The sequence below is a fragment of the Homo sapiens genome, chromosome 10 (genome assembly GCF_000001405.40).
Source record: "Homo sapiens chromosome 10, GRCh38.p14 Primary Assembly".
NCBI classification, from domain to species: Eukaryota; Metazoa; Chordata; class Mammalia; order Primates; family Hominidae; genus Homo; species Homo sapiens.
This window is the reverse complement of record NC_000010.11, coordinates 48105264-48126763: the sequence shown is the minus strand read 5'-3', so window position 1 is coordinate 48126763 and position 21500 is coordinate 48105264. Positions and strand designations below refer to the sequence as shown.

The window sequence follows — 21500 nt, the reverse complement described above, 5'->3', positions numbered from 1 at the left end:
ACATGGAAGGTGTGGTTGCCAGGCAACCACACCCCAGCCTGGGTTGTTTGGTGACTGGATAAGGTATGGGGCTGGTGGTCTCCAAACCATCCTAATCACTTTCTTAGAACTACCTGATTGAGGCTAAGGGCATGCCTCTTTCTGTTTATTTTTCTGTTTGTCCTTTTCTTCTGTTTGTTCTTGAATTAGTCACCGTGCAACTTTAGCCACTCGCTTCTAAGTAGCATAGAGTCCCCCAAAACATGAGTACCATTTGCTATTCTTTAGGAACAGCTTTCTTACCAGAAGTGGGTGGCTCAGGCATCACTGCCTTATCACAGGGAAGTATTTTCCACCTATTACCTCATATCTGACTGTGAGGACCACAAAGGAGTGAGAAGGTGGGGAAGGTGAGCTAGGAGAGGGTAGAATTTCAGATGAGGAGAACTTGCTGCTGCTGCTGCTGCTGCTTCCTCTTTTTTTTTTTTTTCCAGGCTGCAGAAACTCAGGGTTCAAACCATTAAATGATGAGAAAGCTAGAAGGTTGGTTTTCTCTTCTCATTATTAACTTATCACGGAGAAGATGTCTACAGAGGATAGAGGAGTAGGAACATGCCTTTTCTTTTTTCTCTGTTCATGGCAGGGCTTCTAAAAGGAGCCTGACTATAGCTCTCAGTTCAGACAAGAATATTATAACCATCACTAATGGTCTTCAGTGTTTTAAGTAGAAAGTTTATGGACTTAAAAAATTTTGTACCTGCAAAAGATCCATATTGCCCATAGCCCTTTTCTAAATCTTTTATTTTATAGATTGAGTGACTAAAGATTAAGGACAAGGTTGGCCTTTAGGCATATGTGGACCCATGGATATATAATCTGAGTAAGTCAGGAAGTTCTCTCTCTGACTTCTTTTCATTTTCTTAGTGTAGATGCCTTCCTTGTCCTTTAGGTGGCATATTGGTTTTTCTGGAATCCGTTGCGAAACTGTTCTTATCTACTTAAAGGGAACTCATTTGAAGTCTGAGTCTTGAGGGAATAGACAGAACAGGCATGTTGGAAGGAAAGTATGAGTCTCAGGTGAGTCTCAGGTGGGAGGGACAACTGTGTATTATAATTTTACTTGGAGTTTTCCCTGGTTTGATGATCTTTTATTGAGCCTGTAATTTTAGTCCTTATTTATATAAGCCCATTGACTGCACATTATGAGACATTTGTCTGGAATTCCTCTTTTCATGATAGCAGAACAAGTTAAATTTTGTTGGACATGTATATTTTTATATTAAGAAGATATTAGCTTGTTACTTTAAAAAAGCATTTAGTGCAAAAATGGTCAATTGTAGGTAAGCCTTGTATGCAAAATTATTTGCAGTTAAAAATATTGCAACATTACACAGTTCATTTTTCCTTCTTTTGCGGAGATGGCTGTTCTGTGATTACCCTGGGATGATGTTCAGGTAATGCTGTGTAGTTTTTTCTCTCCTAGGAAGTGGAAGGCAGGAACTTAGAAAGTGAGATATAACTAAGAAGGGTCTGTTAATGAGGAAGACAACGTATTTTCCCATGCTAGCCTTTGTCAGAGCTCTCCCAGGTTCAACGATTGGATAGAAGGATTCATGGGGTTCAGCAGGTAGTCACATTCATGGCTAAGATATGGTAGACTGAAAAGGTAGAAAGCAAAATCAACAAGGGAAATCAGATACAAACTCCCCAGAATATTCTCCTTGTGGAGTCACATAGGATGCACTTAATTTTCTGAATAACAAGGTATGGAAACTTGTGTGAAGTGTTGTCTATCAGGGAAGCTTGTCTGAGCTTAAGAGTTTAGGGTTTTTATCAGGGGTTAGTCATGAGCACAGACTGTCAGTGTGACTGATAGCAGTCACTGAAATTCCAGATACCTAGAAGGAAAACAGATGTTTTAGGAGAAGTGAGCTACTTTTCTCATTTAGAAAAAATTTATATTAGTGTAGGCAATGATTTTACCAGCCAAGTTCCCAGACACCAGCCAAGGGCCAGGCTTGTATGCAGGCATTCCTAAGGAGACTCGTCTTGGACCTGGTAGGTGAAGTCATGAACTTTTGTCTGCACACATGTGTAATGTGTATACATTCCTGACTTACATGATCTCAGTTATGGAAATGGTTCAGCTGCACCCAGTAGATAAGTAGTTCTTTGGAGTATGGAGGCCAAGGTCTACTAATGAAACTGTGCCCCAAAGAGTTAACCAGTGGCAAAGAGAAATTCTTGAATTTATAGGATTGGTTGATAAAAATAAAAAACAAAAACAACTTTCTGAAACACTGAAATTCTCTCTGCTTTTAAGATAACAAAACTGGCTGAAATCAGTTGGAACCAATACAGCAAACTAGAGTCTACACAGAATGAGCTTGCTGACGCCACAGCCCAAATTTCCACTGCATGTTTCATACTAACTCCCCCTGAATTTACATATGTGACCCATGAGATAGCATGAAGAGATACTGCAAATGCCCAAAGCCTTTTCAGACCCCCCTTTCCTTCTACCAATCTCCTACTATCCCCAAATTCACTCCCTACACATTTTCTAATAAAAATACTGCCTTAAAAACAGTACAGGAAGACAGATTTGAGCTAGACTCCTGTCTCCTTGTTGGTTGACCTAGAAAAAAGTCTTTCTTTTCTCAAAAACCCAGTGCCATAGTATTGGCTTCTAACACATTGAACAGTGAACTCTTTTGCTTGGTAACAGTGATTGGAGGTACAGGAATTGTGTCTTCTGAAATAAAGCACCCTCTTATAATTACTGATACACTTCCACAAGAGAGGGAGAGGAACGTAGGAAGGAGGGAAGAAAAGAAGTGTAAACAGACAAATGGACAAACAGATGGACCTGAGGTTCAGGAGGTTGGAGGGAATATGCCAAAGCAATTTATATCATGAATGAAACAAACAGTAGAAGGTTGTTTGCCTTGCACCCTAATAGCAGAGGCATCCAGATAACAGAGTCATTTCAGAAAGATGTCTTAAGTCATTCATTACTTTTACTTGAACCATTCTAATAATTGATAAAGTATTTACTCAGAATGTAGCTCATGGCAACTGTATCATCATCAGTCCCTGGGTTTCAAGGGTGAAGCATTGTTGATATAGGGTCTCAGTGCCTTTGGAACCTTGAGTCTTCCATTATTCCAATGAATGCTCACAGTAATCCTTAATGAGCTTGCTGCTCATGTCTATGATGGGTGGGTAGCAACTATTTTTTAATGTTTAAACTTGCATTAATAACTTGATATTATCTTTATCCTAGAGTTTCTGTATTTTATTTTAATTGAAGTACATTATCTTTTTGTGGCTTTTTAAAAGTCAACTTTATTGAGGTGTAATTATGTATAAAGCTTTTAACCTTGCAAGTAAAGATGGTTTTCCTTCTTCCTTCCCAATATGAATCCTTTTATTTTATTTTTCTTGTTTTGCCTGATTGCACTGGGCAGAACTGTCAGTGGCTCTGGAGGTAGCACTTTAGCACTTCACTTCTCCCTGCTTCCCTCTGAGCCCCCAGCCCTATACTCACACACTACAGGGAATGATTGATTAAGAAACCACGGAATGACATTTCTTAATGGTTATGTTTATAATCAGAAAAAGCAATACCACCATTCCTTATAGAAAACTAAGAGCCATTATTAAAAGGCATAAAACATGCCAAATAATTACTAGTAGTCTAAGAAGCTTGTACTGAGAATTTAGTCACAGGAAATACAGATTTCAGAGGAAGGAACTCATATCCCTGGGGTGCCTACAGGTAGGGCAAGAGTAAGTCACTATTGAACATTTGAGACTTCTTTCATTCCCTTCTCTTCAGGCTAGTATAGGTCTCAGGGAGTAGTGTATGATAGAACTTTCACAAGAATTAGAAGTAGCCCTGGTGCTAAGAATTGCCAGAGGCCCAAGGTGCTGAGCATGTCATTTTACATTGTCTATTTTGGCATCTTGCACCCAACCCAAAGTCCACTGTGAAGAAATAGTCTTTGTTAGCACCTGCTTCAGTTTTGAGAGAGTTTGAGATAGACTGAAAATAGTGTCCCAGCTGAGAATTTGAGAATATGTACAGTATTCAGTGACTCTCCAATTATGTCACCCTGCCACCTGAGGAAAGGTGTTTTGCTTTTGTTTCCTGAGCAAACCAAACACTTGTAGTTTTTCTTTTATTTATGATTAGATGGGATCACTTTGTTTCATATTGGAGCTTTTGTTCCTCTTTCCTCAGTGCTCTATCACAGAATAAGTAATACTTTTTTAAGGATTTCTCTTTTATCAGGGCTAATTCTCTATTTTCTATACTATTGCACCTTCCCCAGGAGTTGGAGGGAAACCTTTATCTTACGAACCTGACCACTGGTCCCTCAATATCTTTCACAATCTTTCCCTGAGGGACTGAGTGCCTATCACTCAAGTGGTACCTCTGTGACTTCTCAGAGTTCTTGATGTGGACATGCAGATTAGTTACCTGGTGATACATACACATTCTTTATGGAATTAACTAATTAGTCCCTCAAACATTTCTTGCCATGTCTCCATTGTGTTAGTCTAGTGGCTGGAGATTGAAAAGTGAAAATGTTACAGTTTCTGTCCTCAAGATGCTTATGGTCCAACCCGAGGAGATGAGTCCAGAAATCATTATAAAACATGGAGCTTATAGGGGAAGCACTTGCAGGGGCTTACTTAGCCAAGCTTGAGGGGAGGTGGGAAATATGGTAAAAGCTTGCACTATATTTTCTGAAAGGTTTTCTTCTGCAAATGAAGATTTTGTTTTTATCATATAGTTTACTTTTCTAGGCTACCTAAAATTTCAGTACACATGTGTTGATGTTGACTTGTATGATCTTATTACTGGTTTACTACAGTAGCTGCAACTCAAAATTGAATTAAATGTTAATGATTTTAATATTGCTTTGTTTTGTCTATTTTAAGATATACTAGAAAACATGCCAGGAAAGGGAAATTTATCCAGTTTAATTCTTGTGCTTCTGTAGGGTTATCTGTGACTCACTGCACTGTTGTTTATTAAAATACTAGGATTAGGCATGCATTTCTGATCAAAGCTGTTCTGATGGAAGGTTTGAACAACTGACTATTGGTATGGTTTGATATGAATTTTAGTCTATTCATCTGTGCACTGGAGAGGTCTTAATAATATGTGTGTGTATTTATATAAAGAGGATAAGTCATTGGGGTAAAGGACCATTCACATATTTATTTGTGGAATGCAAGGTATAGCATGTTTAAACCCTAGTATTTGAATTAGTAAGAGTGTCTCCAGTTATCAAGGAGTGTCTTGAAATTACTTGATAAAATTCGAAACGAAATTTATTTTGTCTTTAATTAAAATTGTACTATTTTGTATCTTTTCAATAACATAGTTGGTAGGCAGAAGCTTAGGTGTCATTCTTAGAGGTTCTTAGTTAATTCTGAGGTCCTTAAGATCTCATGTCTGCTTCCAGGGAAGGCTCCTTACTGAAATCTGTTACCTCACTGCCAGTCACAAGAACACTGCCATCCTTTTGTTTTTGTTTTTAATTGAGACAGAGTCTTGCTCTGTTGCATAGGCTGGAGTACAGTGGCACAATCATAGCTTATTGCAGCCTCCATCTTGCGGGCTCAAGTGATCCTCCTGCCTTAGCCGCCCAAGTAGCTGGGACTACAGGTGAGTGCCACCACACCTGGCTATCTTTTTCTTTTTTTTAATTTTTGGTAGAGATGAGGTCTCACTGGGTTGCTCAGGCTGGCCTCGAACTCTTGAGCTCAAGTGATCTTCCCACCTCGGCCTCCCAAAGTGCTGGGATTACGGGTGTGAGCCACTGTGCCTAGCCCTCCTCCTATTTAAAAAAGATATTCTTCCCCTTGTCAAAGCAGAGTTTTTTAAAAATTATAAATGTGACTCACAAATTTGAAATGAAACCAGGTTAAACATTTTACTCAATGTATTAATTAGTGAAGAAACCAGGAAGATGGCAAAGGTAGTTCAAAGAACAGTTTGAGGATCTAGGTTTTTCACTGGCGTTTTGAACCAATGTTAGAGTAAGAATGCTAGATTAGATTAAGAAAACCTGGTTAATGCCAGACAGAAATAAATTATAATCTTTAGTGTTACCTTATCAGACAGAAATTATTTGTATCACTGCTGGACAAAAATCTATAGGTTACGTTGTAATTGCATTAAGTCTAGGACTTTTAATCAGTAGTAAACAATGAACTGAATAAAGTACAATTTCCCCACATAAGTAATCTTTGGGATGGCCTGTCATTATTTTATGACATTGAAGTGACATTCCACTTATCTTTTGCCTTACTTTCACATTTTAATTTAATTTAATTTTATTTTTTCTGCCACAGGGTCTGGCTCTGTTGCCCAGGCTAGACTGCAGTGGCATGATCTTGGCTCACTGTATCCTCCTCCCAGGCTCAAGCCATTCTCCTACCTCAGCTTTTCAAGTAGCTGGGACCACAGGTGTGTGCCACCACACCCGTCTAATTTTTGTAGAGACAGGGTTTCACCCAATTGCCCCAGCTGGTCTCAAACTCCTGAGCTCAAGCGATCCTCCTGCCTTGGCCTCCCAAAGTGCTAGGATTGTAGGCATGAGCCACTACACCTAGTCTTAAATAATTTTTTAACACCTATATCTCAAAGTTTTTAAAATAAATCTGTTTCACACATTAACTTTAGATTCAGATTATAGTAATACCATTTTATTTGCAGGTAGTTAATGGAAAGGTCTCCAGATAAAAGTATTCTTGGTTTTAACCAATGGGAGCAATGTAACATGGCCTTACAGGCCCTTTATGGCAAGAATTAGAAAAGAAAAAAGATTTATTCTGTGTGAGAACTTTTTATAGATTGAATGAACAAGAACTCCTTGAAGACGGTCTCTGTAATTAATTCTTATTTATTCAGTACTGAATTCTCAGCACCTAATTTAGCTTAGGTGTGGCATTTAAATAACTGAGTTTCCATTGAGTGACATTGATTGAATTTGTGTGTGTGTGTGTGTGTGTGTGTGTGTGTGTGTTTATATAAAGAGATACATCATTGGAGTGGAGGGGCCATTCACATATTTATTTGTGGAATGCAAGGTATAGCATATTTAAGCTCTGGTATTTGAATAAATAAGCGTATCTCCAGTTCTCATGGAATATCCTGAAATTATTTGATAAAATTTCAAATGAAATTTATTTTGTCTTTAATTAAAATTGCAGTTTTAAATATTTTGAATTGATAAGTAATAATATGTCAAAGCTGTGATAGCTCCAGTTGTGTAATAGAAAAATCTTTGGCTTTGTGTGTTTTACCAGGTGAACAAAAATTGTTTGCTGGCCCCCAGGATACTAACTAGACCTTTGGCCTGACTCACAGGACACTAAGGCTCCTTTTCTGAAGAAGCCTTTTACCAGTCTCATTTAGGGGATGGGAACAACATGTCTTCACCTAGGGACTTTAGAGCAGAGTCTGGTAGGTGCATCATCTACTTTTGTGGGTATGGGATCAGGAGGAGCTACAGGAGTGCCTCTCAGACTGTAGATTTGCATAGGGACCACCTGTGGATTATTATCCTGCATATTCTGATCCTCTGGGTCTTGGTGGGGTGCGGTGGGGGGCAAGACTCTGCATTTCTAATAAGCCATCACGCTTAGAGTAACAACAATTAAACTCTAGTGTTTTACTTTACCCTTTTCAAATGGCATTTTTTTTTCCTGATTATAAATGTAATATAGGTTTATTGTGAAGAATTTGGGAAGTACAAAAAAGCACCAAAACACAAAGAAAACAACAAGACAATAAAAACAACCTGTAATCTGCCACAAAGCTGTTTGTTTCCATAATTTTGTTAGCTGTGAACTCAGGGCATATACATTTCTAAGGTTTTTGATACATCTACTAATGCAGTGTTTTAGTTAAATGTCAGCTGTCTCCCAGCCGACCCATATTGCCATTGTCTTGCTTAAAACATTAGTAGCTTGCCATCATTTTTCAGTATGTCTTTTATGCCTTTTCTCATTCCTTCCACCTTCAGCCCAGCTTCTATTCCCTCTTCTATCCGCCCTCCTTGTCATTATTATTGCTCTCTCCCTAGAAGTGTTTTTCCAATCCTTATCGGGTATAATTGACAAAAATTGTGTATACATAAGGTGTGCAACTTGATGTTTTGATTTGTCTATATACTGTGAAATGATTACCACAATTAAGCTAACATATCCACCACCTCACAGTTACCATTTTCTTTCTTTGTGTGTATGTGTGTATTACAAACATAAGATCTACCCTCTTAGCAAATATCATTATAATACAGTATTGTATGTATTTTGCTATACATCAGATCTTCAGAACGTATTCATCTTGTGTAACTGTTACTTGATACCATCTGACCAACAACTCCCCATTTCCTCCTTCCTCTATCCCCTGGAAACCACCATTCTGCTATCTGCTTTTGTGAGCCTGGATTCCACCTGTAAGTCAGATTATGTGTAAGATGAGGGATAGGAGTCTAAGTTTATTCTGCATAGGAATATCCAGTTTTTTCCAGGACCATTTATAGAAGAGACTTTCTTGTCCCCAATATATGTTCTTTGTGCCTTGTCATAAAAGAGTTGGCTATAAACATATGGAATTATTTCTGGGTTCTCTATTCTATTCCACTGGTATATGTGTCTGTTTTTATACCAGTATCATGATTTTGTGGTTACTATAGATTTGTAGTGTATTTTGAAGTCAGGTAGTGTAATACCCCAAGCTTTGTTCTTGTTTTTTTGTTGTTGTTGTTTGTTTGTTTTTATTTTGTTTTTGTTTTTCTTGGCTCAGAATTGCTTTGGCTATTTGGAGTATTTTTTGTACTTCCATATGAATTTTATGATTTTAAAATTTCTCTGAAGAATGTCATTGGTATTTTGATAGGAATTGCATTGAGCTCTCAGATTCTTTGGTTATATTGTCATTTTAAAAATATTTATTCTTTTATTCCATGAACATGAGATGTCTTTCCATTGGTTTGTGTCTTCCTCAATTTATTTCATCAATTTTTTATAGTTCTTATTCTAGAGATCTTTAATCTCTGGTTAAATTTATTCCTAGGTATTATTTTTTGTAGTTATTGTAAATGAGATTGCTTACTTGATTTCTTTTTCAGGTAGTTTGTTATTGTTTTATAGAAATGCTACTGATTTTTGCATGTTGATTTTGTATCCTGCAACTTTACTTAATTTGTTTATCAGTTCTAAGAGTTTTTTGGTGGATTCTTCAGGTTTTTGCATTTGTAAGAGCATGTCATCTCTAAACAGGGACAAATTTGACTTCCTCCTTTTCAATTTGGCTACCTTTTATTTGTTTCTGTTGCCTAATTGTTCCTTCTTTTCAATTTGGATGCCTTTTGTTTGTTTCTCTTGCCTAATTGCTCTGGCAAGGACTTCCTGTATGGTATAGTTTGGATGTTTATCTCTTCTAATCATGTTGAAAGGTAATCCCCAACCTGGTGGGAGATGTTGGATCATAGGGGCAGATCCTTCGTGAATGGCTTGGTGTTATCCCCCTGGTGATGAGTGAGTGCTCTCTCAGTTCATGTGAGATCTGATTGTTCAAAGGAGTCTGGAACCTCCCCTTCTCTCTTGCTTTGTCTCTCACCATGTGATTTGCTGGCTCCTCATTCACTTTTTGCCATGACTATAAGCCTCCTGAGGTTAGATACTAGAAGCAGATACCAGCACCATGCTTCCTGTACAGCCTGCAGAACCACGAGCCAGAACAAACCTCTTTTCTTTATAAATTACCCAGCCTTAGACATTCCTACGTAGTGATGCTAACAGACTAACACACAGTATTATGGGTTTTTTAAAAAAAAATTTAAAAATAACATCTGCCTGATTCCCTCACTGATTAATGAATATAATAAAGTAACATGTGCATTTATATGTCTGTATGAGAGCTGTGATTTTCTTTTTCTGGAAACTATCCTTTAACAGTTGCAAACTTTTATGAAAAAGCTAATTTTAATGATAAATCAGTTATGCTAGAATATGCAAAAACATGGAAAGCTACCCAAACTTTTTTGTAGACTAGTTCTTTCCAACTTTTATTTTAGGCTTGGGGGTACATAGGAAGGTTTGTTACATGGGCAAATTGCTTGTTGCTGTGGTTTGGTGAACAAATGATCTCATCACCCAGGTAGTGATTCACTTAAGATAATGGCCTCCAGCTACATCCATGTTGCAGCAAAGGACATGATTTCATTCTGTTTTTTGTTTTTTTTTTTTATTGTTGTTGTTGTTGTTTTTGTTTGAGACAGAGTCTCGCTCTGTCAGCCAGGTGGAGTGCAGTGGCACGATCTCGGCTCACTGCAACCTCCATCTCCCAGGCTCAAGCAATTCTTCTGCCTCAGCCTCCCGAGTAGCTGGGATTACAGGCGTGTGCCACCATGCCCGGCTAATTTTTGTATTTTTAGTAGAGACAGGGTTTCATCATGTTGGCCAGGCTGGTCTCAAACTCCTGACCTCAGGTAATTCATCCGCCTTGGCCTCCCAAACTGCTGGGATTACAGGCATGAGCCGCCGCACCCAGCCATGATTTCATTCTTTTTATGGTTGTGTAATAGTCCATGGTGTTTTTGCACCACATTTTCTTTATCCATTCCACTGTTGACAGGCATGTAGGTTGATTCCATGTCTTTGCTATTGTGAAAAGTTCTGTGATGAACATACATGTGCATATGTCTTTATGATGGAACAATTTATATCCCTTCATATAGCCAGTAATGTGATTGCTGAATCAAATGGTAGTTCTGTTTTATGTTCATTGAGAAATCTCCAAACCACATTCCACAGTGGTTGAACTTAAATTCCCATCAGCAGTGTATAAGTGTTCCCTTTTCTCTGTAACCTCACAAACATTTTTTTTTTAATTTTTACTTTTTAATAATAGCCTTTCTGGCTTGTGTAAGATGGTATCTCATTGTGGTTTTCATTTGCATTTCTCTGATGATTAGTGATATTGAGCATTTTTTCATATCCTTCTTGGCTATGTGTATGTCTCCTTTTGAAAAGTGTCTGTTCATGTCCTTTGCCCATTTTTTAACGGGGTTGTTTGATTCTTGCTTGTTCGTTTATAAGTTCATTATAAGTTCTGGATATTAGACCATGTGTTCTGCCAGGTTTTGGTATCAGAACGATGCTGGCCTTATGGAATGAGATAGGGAGGAGTCCCTCTTCCTAATTATTTGAAATAGTTTCAGTAGGATTGGTACCACCTCTTGTTTATACATCTGGTAGAATTTGACTGTGAATCCTTCTGGCCCGGGCTCTTTCTGATTGGTAGGTTTTTTTAAATTACTGATTTAGTTCCTGATTTAGTATCTATTCCATAGCCTAGAAATCAATGAGTAATTTTGAGTTTCCTGTCTCATTATTTAAGAAACATTTTGTAAGGCTGTAGCTGCCATAGATAGTGATTCTTCTGATGGCTGTGGGCAAAGTAAATTGAAAACCTTTTGGAAATAACTCCCCATTCTAGACGCCATTAAGAACATTTGTGGTTTATGGGAGGAGGTCAAAATGTCAACATTAATGGGAGTTTGGGAAAAACTGATTTTAACCCTCATGGATGACTTTGAGGGATTTAAGACTTCAGTGCAGGAAGTACTATCCTAAGTTTTCGGCATCCACTGGGGGTCTTGGAACTAGGCATTCCCTGTGGGTAAGCGGGAACTGCTTTACCATTTCACATATAGTTGTAGGAACATAAGATACTTCCATTTCCTCCCATTTGCCTTTCATGCTATTATTGATACCAATTTTATTGTGAGTGTTGTATACCCTACAATAGATTATTATTTTTCCTTATAATTGAGTTATCTTTTAAAGAAATTAGAACATGTGAAAGAGTATGTTTTATGTGCTCATGTATTTTCCAGTTTTGCCACTCTTCATTCCTTTGGATAGGTCTACATTTTCATATTTTATCCTTTTCCTTGTGCCTGAAAAACTTCCTTTAACTTTTGTTGTTGTTGTTTAGTGCAGGCTGGATATAATCTTAGTTTTTATTGGTCTACAGAAGTCTTATTTTTTGAAATATATATTTTCAGGGTATAGAATTCTATATTGACATTCTATAAGAATTCTATGTTCTTTCAATACTTTAAAATGTCTCACCATTATCTTCTAGCATGCATGATTTCTGATGAGAAATCCATCATTCTTATCTTTGTTTTTCTATATTTAATGTGTCTGTTTTCTCTGGCATTTTTTCTTTTCAGTAATTTGAATATGACATACATGAATGTGATTTTTCTATAAGCTCATATATTACACTTGTATTTTATTGACCTTCTTTGGTCTGTTGGTTTATAGTTTTCATCTAGTTAGGTAACATTTCAGCTATTATTTCTTCATATTTGTTTTGGCATTCCAGTTACAGGAATTTTAGTTCACTTGATGTTGTCCCAGTTTGCTGAGTCTGTTCAGTCTCTTTTTTTCGCTACTGTGCGCTTCATTTTGGATATACTCTTGCTGTATGTTGACAGACACTGATTTTTTTTCCTTCTGCCTTATCTGCTGTTAATTTATTTTAGTTCATACATTGTCTCTAGAAATTTCAGTAGGTCTTATTTTTACATGATTTATATCTCTTTTTATTGTATCATGTTTTTCTTTATTTCCTTGAGCACCTTTTAAAAACTTATAATAGTTAAAAGTTCTTTTTTCTGAATTTTATCATCTGTCATTTCTAAGTACATTTCTATTGATTGATTGATTTGGCTGTGGGTTATACTTTTCTATTCCTTGGCATACCTGTTAATTGTTTACTACACATTGTGAATTATATGATTTTGGTGCTGGATTTTTTCTTTTTCTTTTCTTTTTTTCTTCTTTTTTCTTTTTCTTTTCTTTTTTTTTTTTTTCTTAGAGTCTCACTCTGTCTCATAGGCTGGAGTGCAGTGGTGCAATCTTGGCTCACTGCAACCTTCTGCCTCCTGGGTTCAAGTGATTCTCCTGCCTCAGCCTCCTGAGTAGCTGGGATTGCAGGTGCGTGCCACCATGCCAAGCTAATTTTTGTATTTTTAGTAGAGATGGGGTTTCACCATGTTTGTCAGGCTGATCTCGAACTCCTGACCTCGTGATCCACCCTCTTCAGCCTCCCAAAGTGCTGGGATTACAGGCGTGAGCCACCACACCCGGCCTTGATTTTTCTTTAAAGAATGTTGGGTTTTTCTGCCTTGTAGTTATGTTACTTGAAGTTTAACCTGATCCTGTCTGAGGCTTGCTCTTCACCTTTTTTATAGGTGGCCCTAAGGAGCTTCTGTTCCAAGGATAGTTTTAGTACTAAGAGGTATCTCTTCTGTGCACTATCCTCAACGCCCCCTGTATTACAGGGTCTCCTCATTCTGGCTCATATGAACTGTTCCTAGGAATTGTGTGGCTTGCTACTTTCCGGTGGTCCTTCCTGAGTGTCAGAGATTGTCCTCCTTCATATAAGCATATCCATATTCTGCAAAGGACATGAGAGGGTTTCTTTGCAGCTACTTAGACTTCTCTTGTTCTGTATAGCTCCCTCCTCCCTGGTACTCTGCCCTACAAATTCTGGCTGCCTCAGCCTCTCCTAACTTTGATCTTTTTCTTCTCAACTCATTGAATCACTGGACTCGTTGATTCCTTTCCTGAGCTATAGCCTGCAAACTTCTGGAGGCCATAATCTGGAGCAACCAGAAGGCTCACCCCCTTCTCTCTGGGATCACAGTCTGTTGTTTAAGGTCTGAAAATTATTGTTTTATATATTTTGTCCTATTTTCTGGTTGGTTGTGGTTAAGTCCTATTACAGTAAATCTCTCATAAGCATAAATGAAAGTCAATTGTAGGTTGTTTTACTTTTCATTTTTTGTTTGTCAGGTGAGGCTGGACTTTTTCTGAATATATTATTGGCCTGTAAGTCGCCTTCTGTGAGTTGCTTGTTTACAATTCTCATAGACTTTTTTTTTCCTGTTAATTTTTTTTCTAGCACTTGAAGCTCCTTCCTAGGTTTGCGGAATTTCCTATTTTCAGAACCGTTTGCATGAGAGATTTTTTTCATTGAAAGTCTGATAAAATCCCATCTGGAAACCTGTTTGGGCCCAGATGCTTTTTCCTCTTGGGAGTGATATTTTTGATTATTGGTTTGACTTTTTAAATGGTTATTACACTATTTAGGCTTTCTACATCTTCTGGAGTAAATTTGCATAACTTATAATTCTCTTATAAAAGTTTCCATTTCATCAGATTTCCCTAAAGTTTCTCATAATATTTGCTTATTACCTTTAAAAATGAGAGTTGCATCTGTAGCTGTGCCCTTTCTCATTTTTACACTTGATCTTAGCCAAAAGGCCGAGAAGCGATCCTTTTTCATTTTTAATGTTATTTGTGCACTTACTCTCCATTGATTTGTAGTGAAAGAGGGTTGCGTATTTTTAAGTTTTTTTTTTCAAAGAACTAGTTTATTGGATTTTGCTGATTATTCTTTAGGCTTATTTTCTGTTATTATATTTTTCTTTATGATTTTCTCCTTTGTAGTTTCTCTGGGTTTCCTCAGTTTTTCTTTGGCTTCTATGATTGAATACAAAACTCATTTATATCAGCTTTTTTTTTTCTGCCTTTTTTGTAAACACATTTAAACCTATACATTTTCCCTCTATCTAAATACTCATTTAGCTACTTCACATTAGTTTTGATATGTTGTCCCTTCATTGATATTTCTTAATGTTTTAATTTATAAAATTAATTCATGTGTTATAAAGGTTCATAATTTCTATTAGATTTCCTTTTTAACACACATTCAGGAACACACTTTTTCATTTCCATAGTACTTGTTTACTATATTTTTATTGATTTTGTAATATGCCATGCCACAGAATTTCTAAATCATAATATTTAAGGCTCCCATGGTATGAGAAACAGTACTCTGAGTGCTCAGTACTGAGATCAGAGAAAATTTTCTCTCGGCTTCTTATCTGAAAGAGTCTGTGCAGTAAAATTAACACAGTAATTAGGAATAATCATATAAGAAACCCAGAGTTTCCTTGGGATGATTCATATTACATTATTCAACAAAGCCGAAAACAATTTTCTGTATAATTTAACATATTACTAACTTATGAATTATAAATAATACAAGAAGTTACAGTGCGACATTTGTAACACAGTATTCTTTATTCAAGAAATAGACTCTGAAACACAGAAGACTGTATTCTGTAGATCCCAATGCATAGGTTCTGCAGGTTGTAAATATCTAGGATTTACTTGAAGAGTACTTTCTTGAATAATATGGCAATGAGGAACAAGGGAACCGCTCAAAAGTCAACTCCCTGAGGATAATCCTAGAAGAAGGATCAGCTTTGCTATGTTGATTTTTTCAAAGCAGGGGAGAAAGAGATGATTACCATAGGAGATAAAGATGGGGTGTTTGGAAAACAGGAAAAGTAGATGAAAATTCCCCTCATGTAGCTTGTTTTTTCTCATTAAGGCTCCATTTTTCCTTCTGTATAGTGTTTTCTATTTGATCAGTTTTTCCCCCCGCCTTTGTTCAGTAAACGATTATGAGGGAAATGACTCTGAAGCAGAAGACCTGAATTTCAGGGAGGCTTTGCCTTCATCAAGTCAGGAAAACACACCTAGATCAAAGGTAAGACTAAAAGGAGAGGGATCTCTACTAATTTTGGCTAATACCTAAATTGCTGACTATGCTCTCTGGGAAATGGGTATCTATTTGGTTCTCACCAAAATGATTTCTTAATTTTTTGTCACTGTAGTGTTGACAGTGACCAAAATGGGGATTTGAAAGAGTGGAACTTTTTGCAAAGTTTCTAATGAATTGCATTTTCTAATGCTACTCTGGAAATTTTACAGGCACTAGTTTTGTGTTACTAATGAAGATACAAAATAAATGTCACATGAAGTAAGAAGCACCTTTAGATGTATTGATTGTGGACTTTTTCATTGTTTGAGACAGCATGATTGGGTGTCTCCGAACTATGGAAAAGTAGAGGGCTGTGAAAAGTCTGTGACAAAACCTCTTACTTCAACACATTACCCCATTTGTGGAGATAGTGCTAGGATTAGAGCACAAAAAAAGGGAAATGCATTTTAGTCTGGTGGGTGCTTTGCATTTTTTTTTCTCTTACCTAGTCAACTGGAGCTTTGGAACTGCGATGATGATGCTGGCCTTGTGTTCATTTCCTGTAAGTTACAGGAGTAATAGAGATAAAGTCAGTACATAGACCAAAAACTGCTCCTACCACTTCCCCTGTTCAATTGCCACCTCCACCCCAGGTGGGCAGGAGTGCAGCTTTTAAGAACAGTGTTGTAACTTGATTATTATCTCCTGTCCATTCTCTGCTATACTTAAGTTGGCCACATCAAGGCTACCATCACATCTTTGGCTGGGAATCTCTGGCTGTTAGTGCCGTGTTGGGCTCTCCGCTCACTCTTGATTCTTTTCTCTGATCAGAATGGTTTTCTCTTTGAAGCAGAGACGATTTGAAAGGGAGCACCTTCACAGAATGGCCCAAGTATATCCTTTATATAGTCTTATAGTCTTATTTGACTTCTTCTAGAACTGAGCACATTTTGTGATTTTGTTTATATTTTTACTTTGGGTTTTTTTTGCTTGTTTGTTTGTTTGTTTGTTTTTTTGCTAAGTTATAGCTTGGCCTATCTAGGGTGAATTCTGATATGCTTTAAAGTTTCCTTTCATAAAAAAGGATCTTAGAACATTCCTGGATGGTTTTTATAGTGTTGGGAAAATTACCTGATTTTATTAGAACTTGCTTTTCTTATGTTTCATGAAACAATTTGATACTGTAGCCATTTTTATGTCCTTTCAGATATGATGCTGTCCCCTAGAAATTGTCTAGACTCATAGACTTGAAGTTGGTTAGATTTGGAGCATAAAGAAATTTTTTTTTTGAGACAGGCTAATTTATTTTTTGGATTTTTGGTAGAGACAGGGTTTCACCACGTTGGCCAGGCTGGTCTTGAGCTCCTGGCCTCAGGTGATCCACCCGTCTTGGCCTCCCAAAGTGCTGGGATTATAGGCATAAGCCACTACACCTGGCCTGTTAAAGACATTTTTATGCCAGCACTCATTTTAGAGGTGAAAGCTGAAGCGATTTGTCTATGATCATATAACTCTTGAGTCACAGACTAGAAACCAGGCTCCTATCTGTGTTACTGTTTTCACTTTGTCCTCATAAATCCTTGCTGCATGGACTACAGAAAAGCTAACTTAGGCTCCTCAGAAAACATTTTCTAACATTTAAAAAATTTGATATTAATTTGATTCCGTGAGCAATCTCCAAAAGTCCTGCCATCTTGATAATTTATTATATTTCTCCTTGTTAGTTCTTGGTATTGTTAGCAAAATCACATTTCACTCAATCAGACATATGTTAGTCAGCCTTAAATTTGAATTGCAGCCATCTGGAACAGTCTGCTTCTTTAAAAAATAAATATAATCAATTTGATTTTGAACCATGAGCTGAAAGATGTCTCAGGTTTAAATTGTGTTAGGACTTCCAGATATCACTTTTTCTAAGTAAATGAATTGTACTCAAATGACTTTTAAGCATGTCTCATAAGAGGGAAGTGGGATCATGTTGTGTAATAGCATGTGTCCCACTTCTTTTCCTCCATCCCACTGGAGCCACACTTTCTACATTTCAATTTTAATTATCCTGAAATTAATTTTTAGGGATTTGCCAATCAGTGCTGATTTCAAAACTAGTTCAATTCTGTGAAGCTCATTTCATTTCGTGTATTGTAGCTACATAGTTTAATGAGAAGGAATCTTAGGTGGACATTTTCCTGTGATTTTAAAGTAAAAATTAAACATACACCAAGCAAACACTAACAAACTCATTAGTCAAAGAAGAAATCATAATGGAAGTTTAAAGTATTTAGAATGGAATGTACACAAAAATGCTAGATGTAAAAACATGTGGTTTGTGGATTGAGCAGTGTGTATCAAATAAAAGGTCTGCTCTATGACATTACATTTACAATTGTGCCACTTAAGGTGTTTAGGAGTAAATCTAAGAAAAGGTATACATTGTCTTTATTGAGAATATTTTATAATGTTTTTGCTGGATAGCTATATCATATTAGTGGATAATGATACTTAATATATAAATACATCACTTATTTCCAATTTAAATTAAAAAATTCATATTACTTAATTTCAATAATAGTCCCAAAGTTATTTCTGTGTGTGAATGAGATTTGATCAGCTGATTCAAAAGATGTTCTTGAGAAAATAGAAGGCCAAGTATGGCAAGACAGTATTAGACAAGGAAGGAAGGAAACGTGTATGTGGTGGCTGGGGCACTGGCACTGCGAGTTATCAAGACTGAAGTCCACTGCCCGGTGCAAAATTGGGCAGTGGAATGTGGAGAAATACTTAGAATTAGTAGATTAGATGGTGCAAGTACTAAAGTAAAGATAAATTTAGTGGCAGGAATTTTATATTCACAGTAAACAAAACATGGTAAACACTTATAAGAAAATCTCTTCTGGGCTGAAGTAATAAATCTATTTTTTCTCAAATGAAGCTTTTTAAAAATTTAGTTTTGAAAAATCACTTGAGCAATTCAATATAAATAACTTCTGTTTACATAGTACTCTACACTGTTTTGACAGATTGGAAGATATTTAATAGGGAGATATACAATTAAGTGATTTTCTAGGAGCAGACATTATACTATGTGATTGTGGTTATAATTCCATTATTGCAGATCTTTTTGCTCTTCTTAAGTAGCTATAGAAATCACGTTTTAAACCATATTTTTCTAAAACCAGTGCTATAATTTGTTTCCTTTCTTATGTCTGTAGGTTTTTGAAAATAAAGTTAATTCAGAGAAGGTAAAACTTTCTCTTCGGAATTTCCCACATAATGATTATGAGGATGTTTTTGAAGAGCCTTCAGAAAGGTATAACTAATATGCTTATTTAGTGGGTTTTCTGTTTATGCTACTTATATTCATAGCTAGCCCTCTGCATGGAGACAGTGAATAATGGCCCTGAAATGTTTAATTTTTCAAGATATAGCTTTTTATAAACTTGATTTAGCTTTCTTAGAAATATGTTTATGATCTCAAAAATATGGTAATTAACATAAGGGAAAAGTATTCTTGAAGGATTCGATTTCTCTATCCTCTCAATAGTTACATGGCGTCAAAGCTTTTGCAAATATGCTTGGAGCTTTTGAAGTGGTCAGTGTACTTGAGGTAGCATGAAGCTCACGGTACAGCACTAAATGTTATTAGAAATGTAATCTGTTTTCAGAAAGAAAATTATATGGTATAAACAACAGGTTTATTAGTATGGTGAATTTCTGGTAGTATATATTTAAAAAATTTAAAGTACCTGAAGAACAGTAAATTTCCATTAGGAAAACAAAGAAACAAGTTTTCATGCTTATAAAATGTTCAAATTTAGGTGTTATAAGCAAAAACATCAAATGAGGAAACATTTTGTTAAGCCATATTTTCTTAGAGATTTATCAGTAATATTAGCTACCCTCACTGGAATAGCACTGTATAAGAATGTGTATATTCTTTATATTATGTGTTTTTGTATGCGTATTGTATGAAATTTATATGTACAATTTTCAGAAGTGCATTAAACAAATAATAGTAATTCCAAAGACATTTTGAGATTCTGTGATACACTAAGCACTGTACACAAATACAAACTACTATATATTTTTTGCCCTTTAGTTCACAGTTTAATTAGGGAAACAGACATATAAAAGACAAATTGATGTACAACATAGTAAATATTATTTTAGAGTAAAAATCCAAAGATTGTGGGTACAGAAGATTGACTATGCATGAGGGAGGTTTCCCACAAGCTTCTTTGAAGAAAAGATATTTTGGTTGAATTTAGGATTTAATTAAATAGAAACCTAGCAGGTGAAAAAGAGAAGAACATTTCAGGCAAGAGGGAGAAGTTTGAGCGAGGGTAAGGAGTTGTGAAAATATCTTAGGGGTAATGGGGAGAAATATTAGGTGCCAAGAGTCGTAGGGTGTATGTGAGGTGGAATGCTAGGAAGCTGCAGAAGATGAGAGGTGGAGCCCAAAATACAGTGTGGGCTGGAGAGGGAAGTAATGCCATATATGTGAAGCTGAGTATACATTTTATTCAGTCTGTTAAAATCAAAAGGATGCATACGGAAGGTCTTTTTGTTTTATTCATGCAACTATCTATTTATCCATCCAGAAGGAGGAATGCTGGTGGCAAGGTGAGGATAGCTGGAAGTGGCAGTCAGTGGAGATTAATTAAATGTTTACAGTAATCCAAGAAAAAAATTAGAAGGAGAAAAGAGTAAGAAACCCGAATTTCCTTACAGAAGTAAAAGAAAAAGGCATTTATTTTGCTAAGGTTAAAGCATACAGTACATGTAGGAAATCAGTGGAGATGGTGATGGAAAAATAGACAGAGGCCACCTGGCCAATATCCTAAACTTATGTGTCTGATAAGGGGCCTTGATTTATCCTGATATTGGTGGGCAGGTGTAATTAAGTTTGTATTTTAGGAAGAATTTTCTCTAAACATTGAAGTTTAGATGCAGAAGTCAAATTAGGAGGATTTTGCTAGGTAGGGTTGCAAATGAAAGTGCAACAAGAGCCAAGTTAATAGCATTAGCGAGTCAGTTGAGTATGGAGACGTTGCAAAGGAAACAAAGTGGGTATGGGCTAGGATTTGAAAAATCTGTTAACAATTAGTAGCTAGACAGAGTTTAAAGCATTTCCTATTTTTAAGATACAGAAAATTGTGTATTCTTATGATATGAAAGAATTTGTAGATAGGGAGAAATTCACGATATGTTAAAAAAAAATAAGTTATAGAAAAATACCTTAGAGGAGGCAGAAGGAATCTGGTTAAGAACACGGAAGGAGGAATTTTGAACAGGCAGAAAGCAAGGAATAAGAAAGACATTGATGCATCTAAGTAAATGTTTTAAAAGATAATAAATTGAAAGAATTTCTATTTTCTGGCTTGCATTTTCTAGAAGAAGTTACATTTTTACTAAGTCAGAGAGAGTATTAAAATAAGGACTATAACAAGATGGTGGCTTGGAATTTGCTGCCATGGAAGAGTGGTACAGGAAACCAACCAGGGACATGCTGGTATTTTCCAAACGGCTCTCTGCCGATATTAGAAAGCCCAGTGACCCGAGTACTTCCCTCCCACAGTCTAGGTAAAGGAGGGGAGAAGGTAAATAAGTGGATGGATCTGAGGCGACTAGTTTGCAAGGTAAAAGTAGTAGGAGGAGATGGAGTTTGTGATCAGACATTGGGATTTGGGAATTATTTCACAAGTGGGCCAGTTTCAGGTGATGACAATGGGAGTGGGTGGCTGAATTGAAATGGAAATGAATGTCAATTAAATAATCAATGAAGATGATTAGAAAGTATTTCTCAAATGTATATATTCTTTGAAACCATGGGCAAATATATACATTTCTTTTCTAGTGGCAG

At 36.5% G+C, this 21500-nt stretch overlaps 1 pseudogene; it reads left to right on the top strand.

Moving 5' to 3' along the window:
• The window catches only part of PTPN20CP (protein tyrosine phosphatase non-receptor type 20C, pseudogene), a 34986-nt pseudogene that overhangs the window by 13379 nt on the left and 107 nt on the right, over nt 1-21500 (top strand).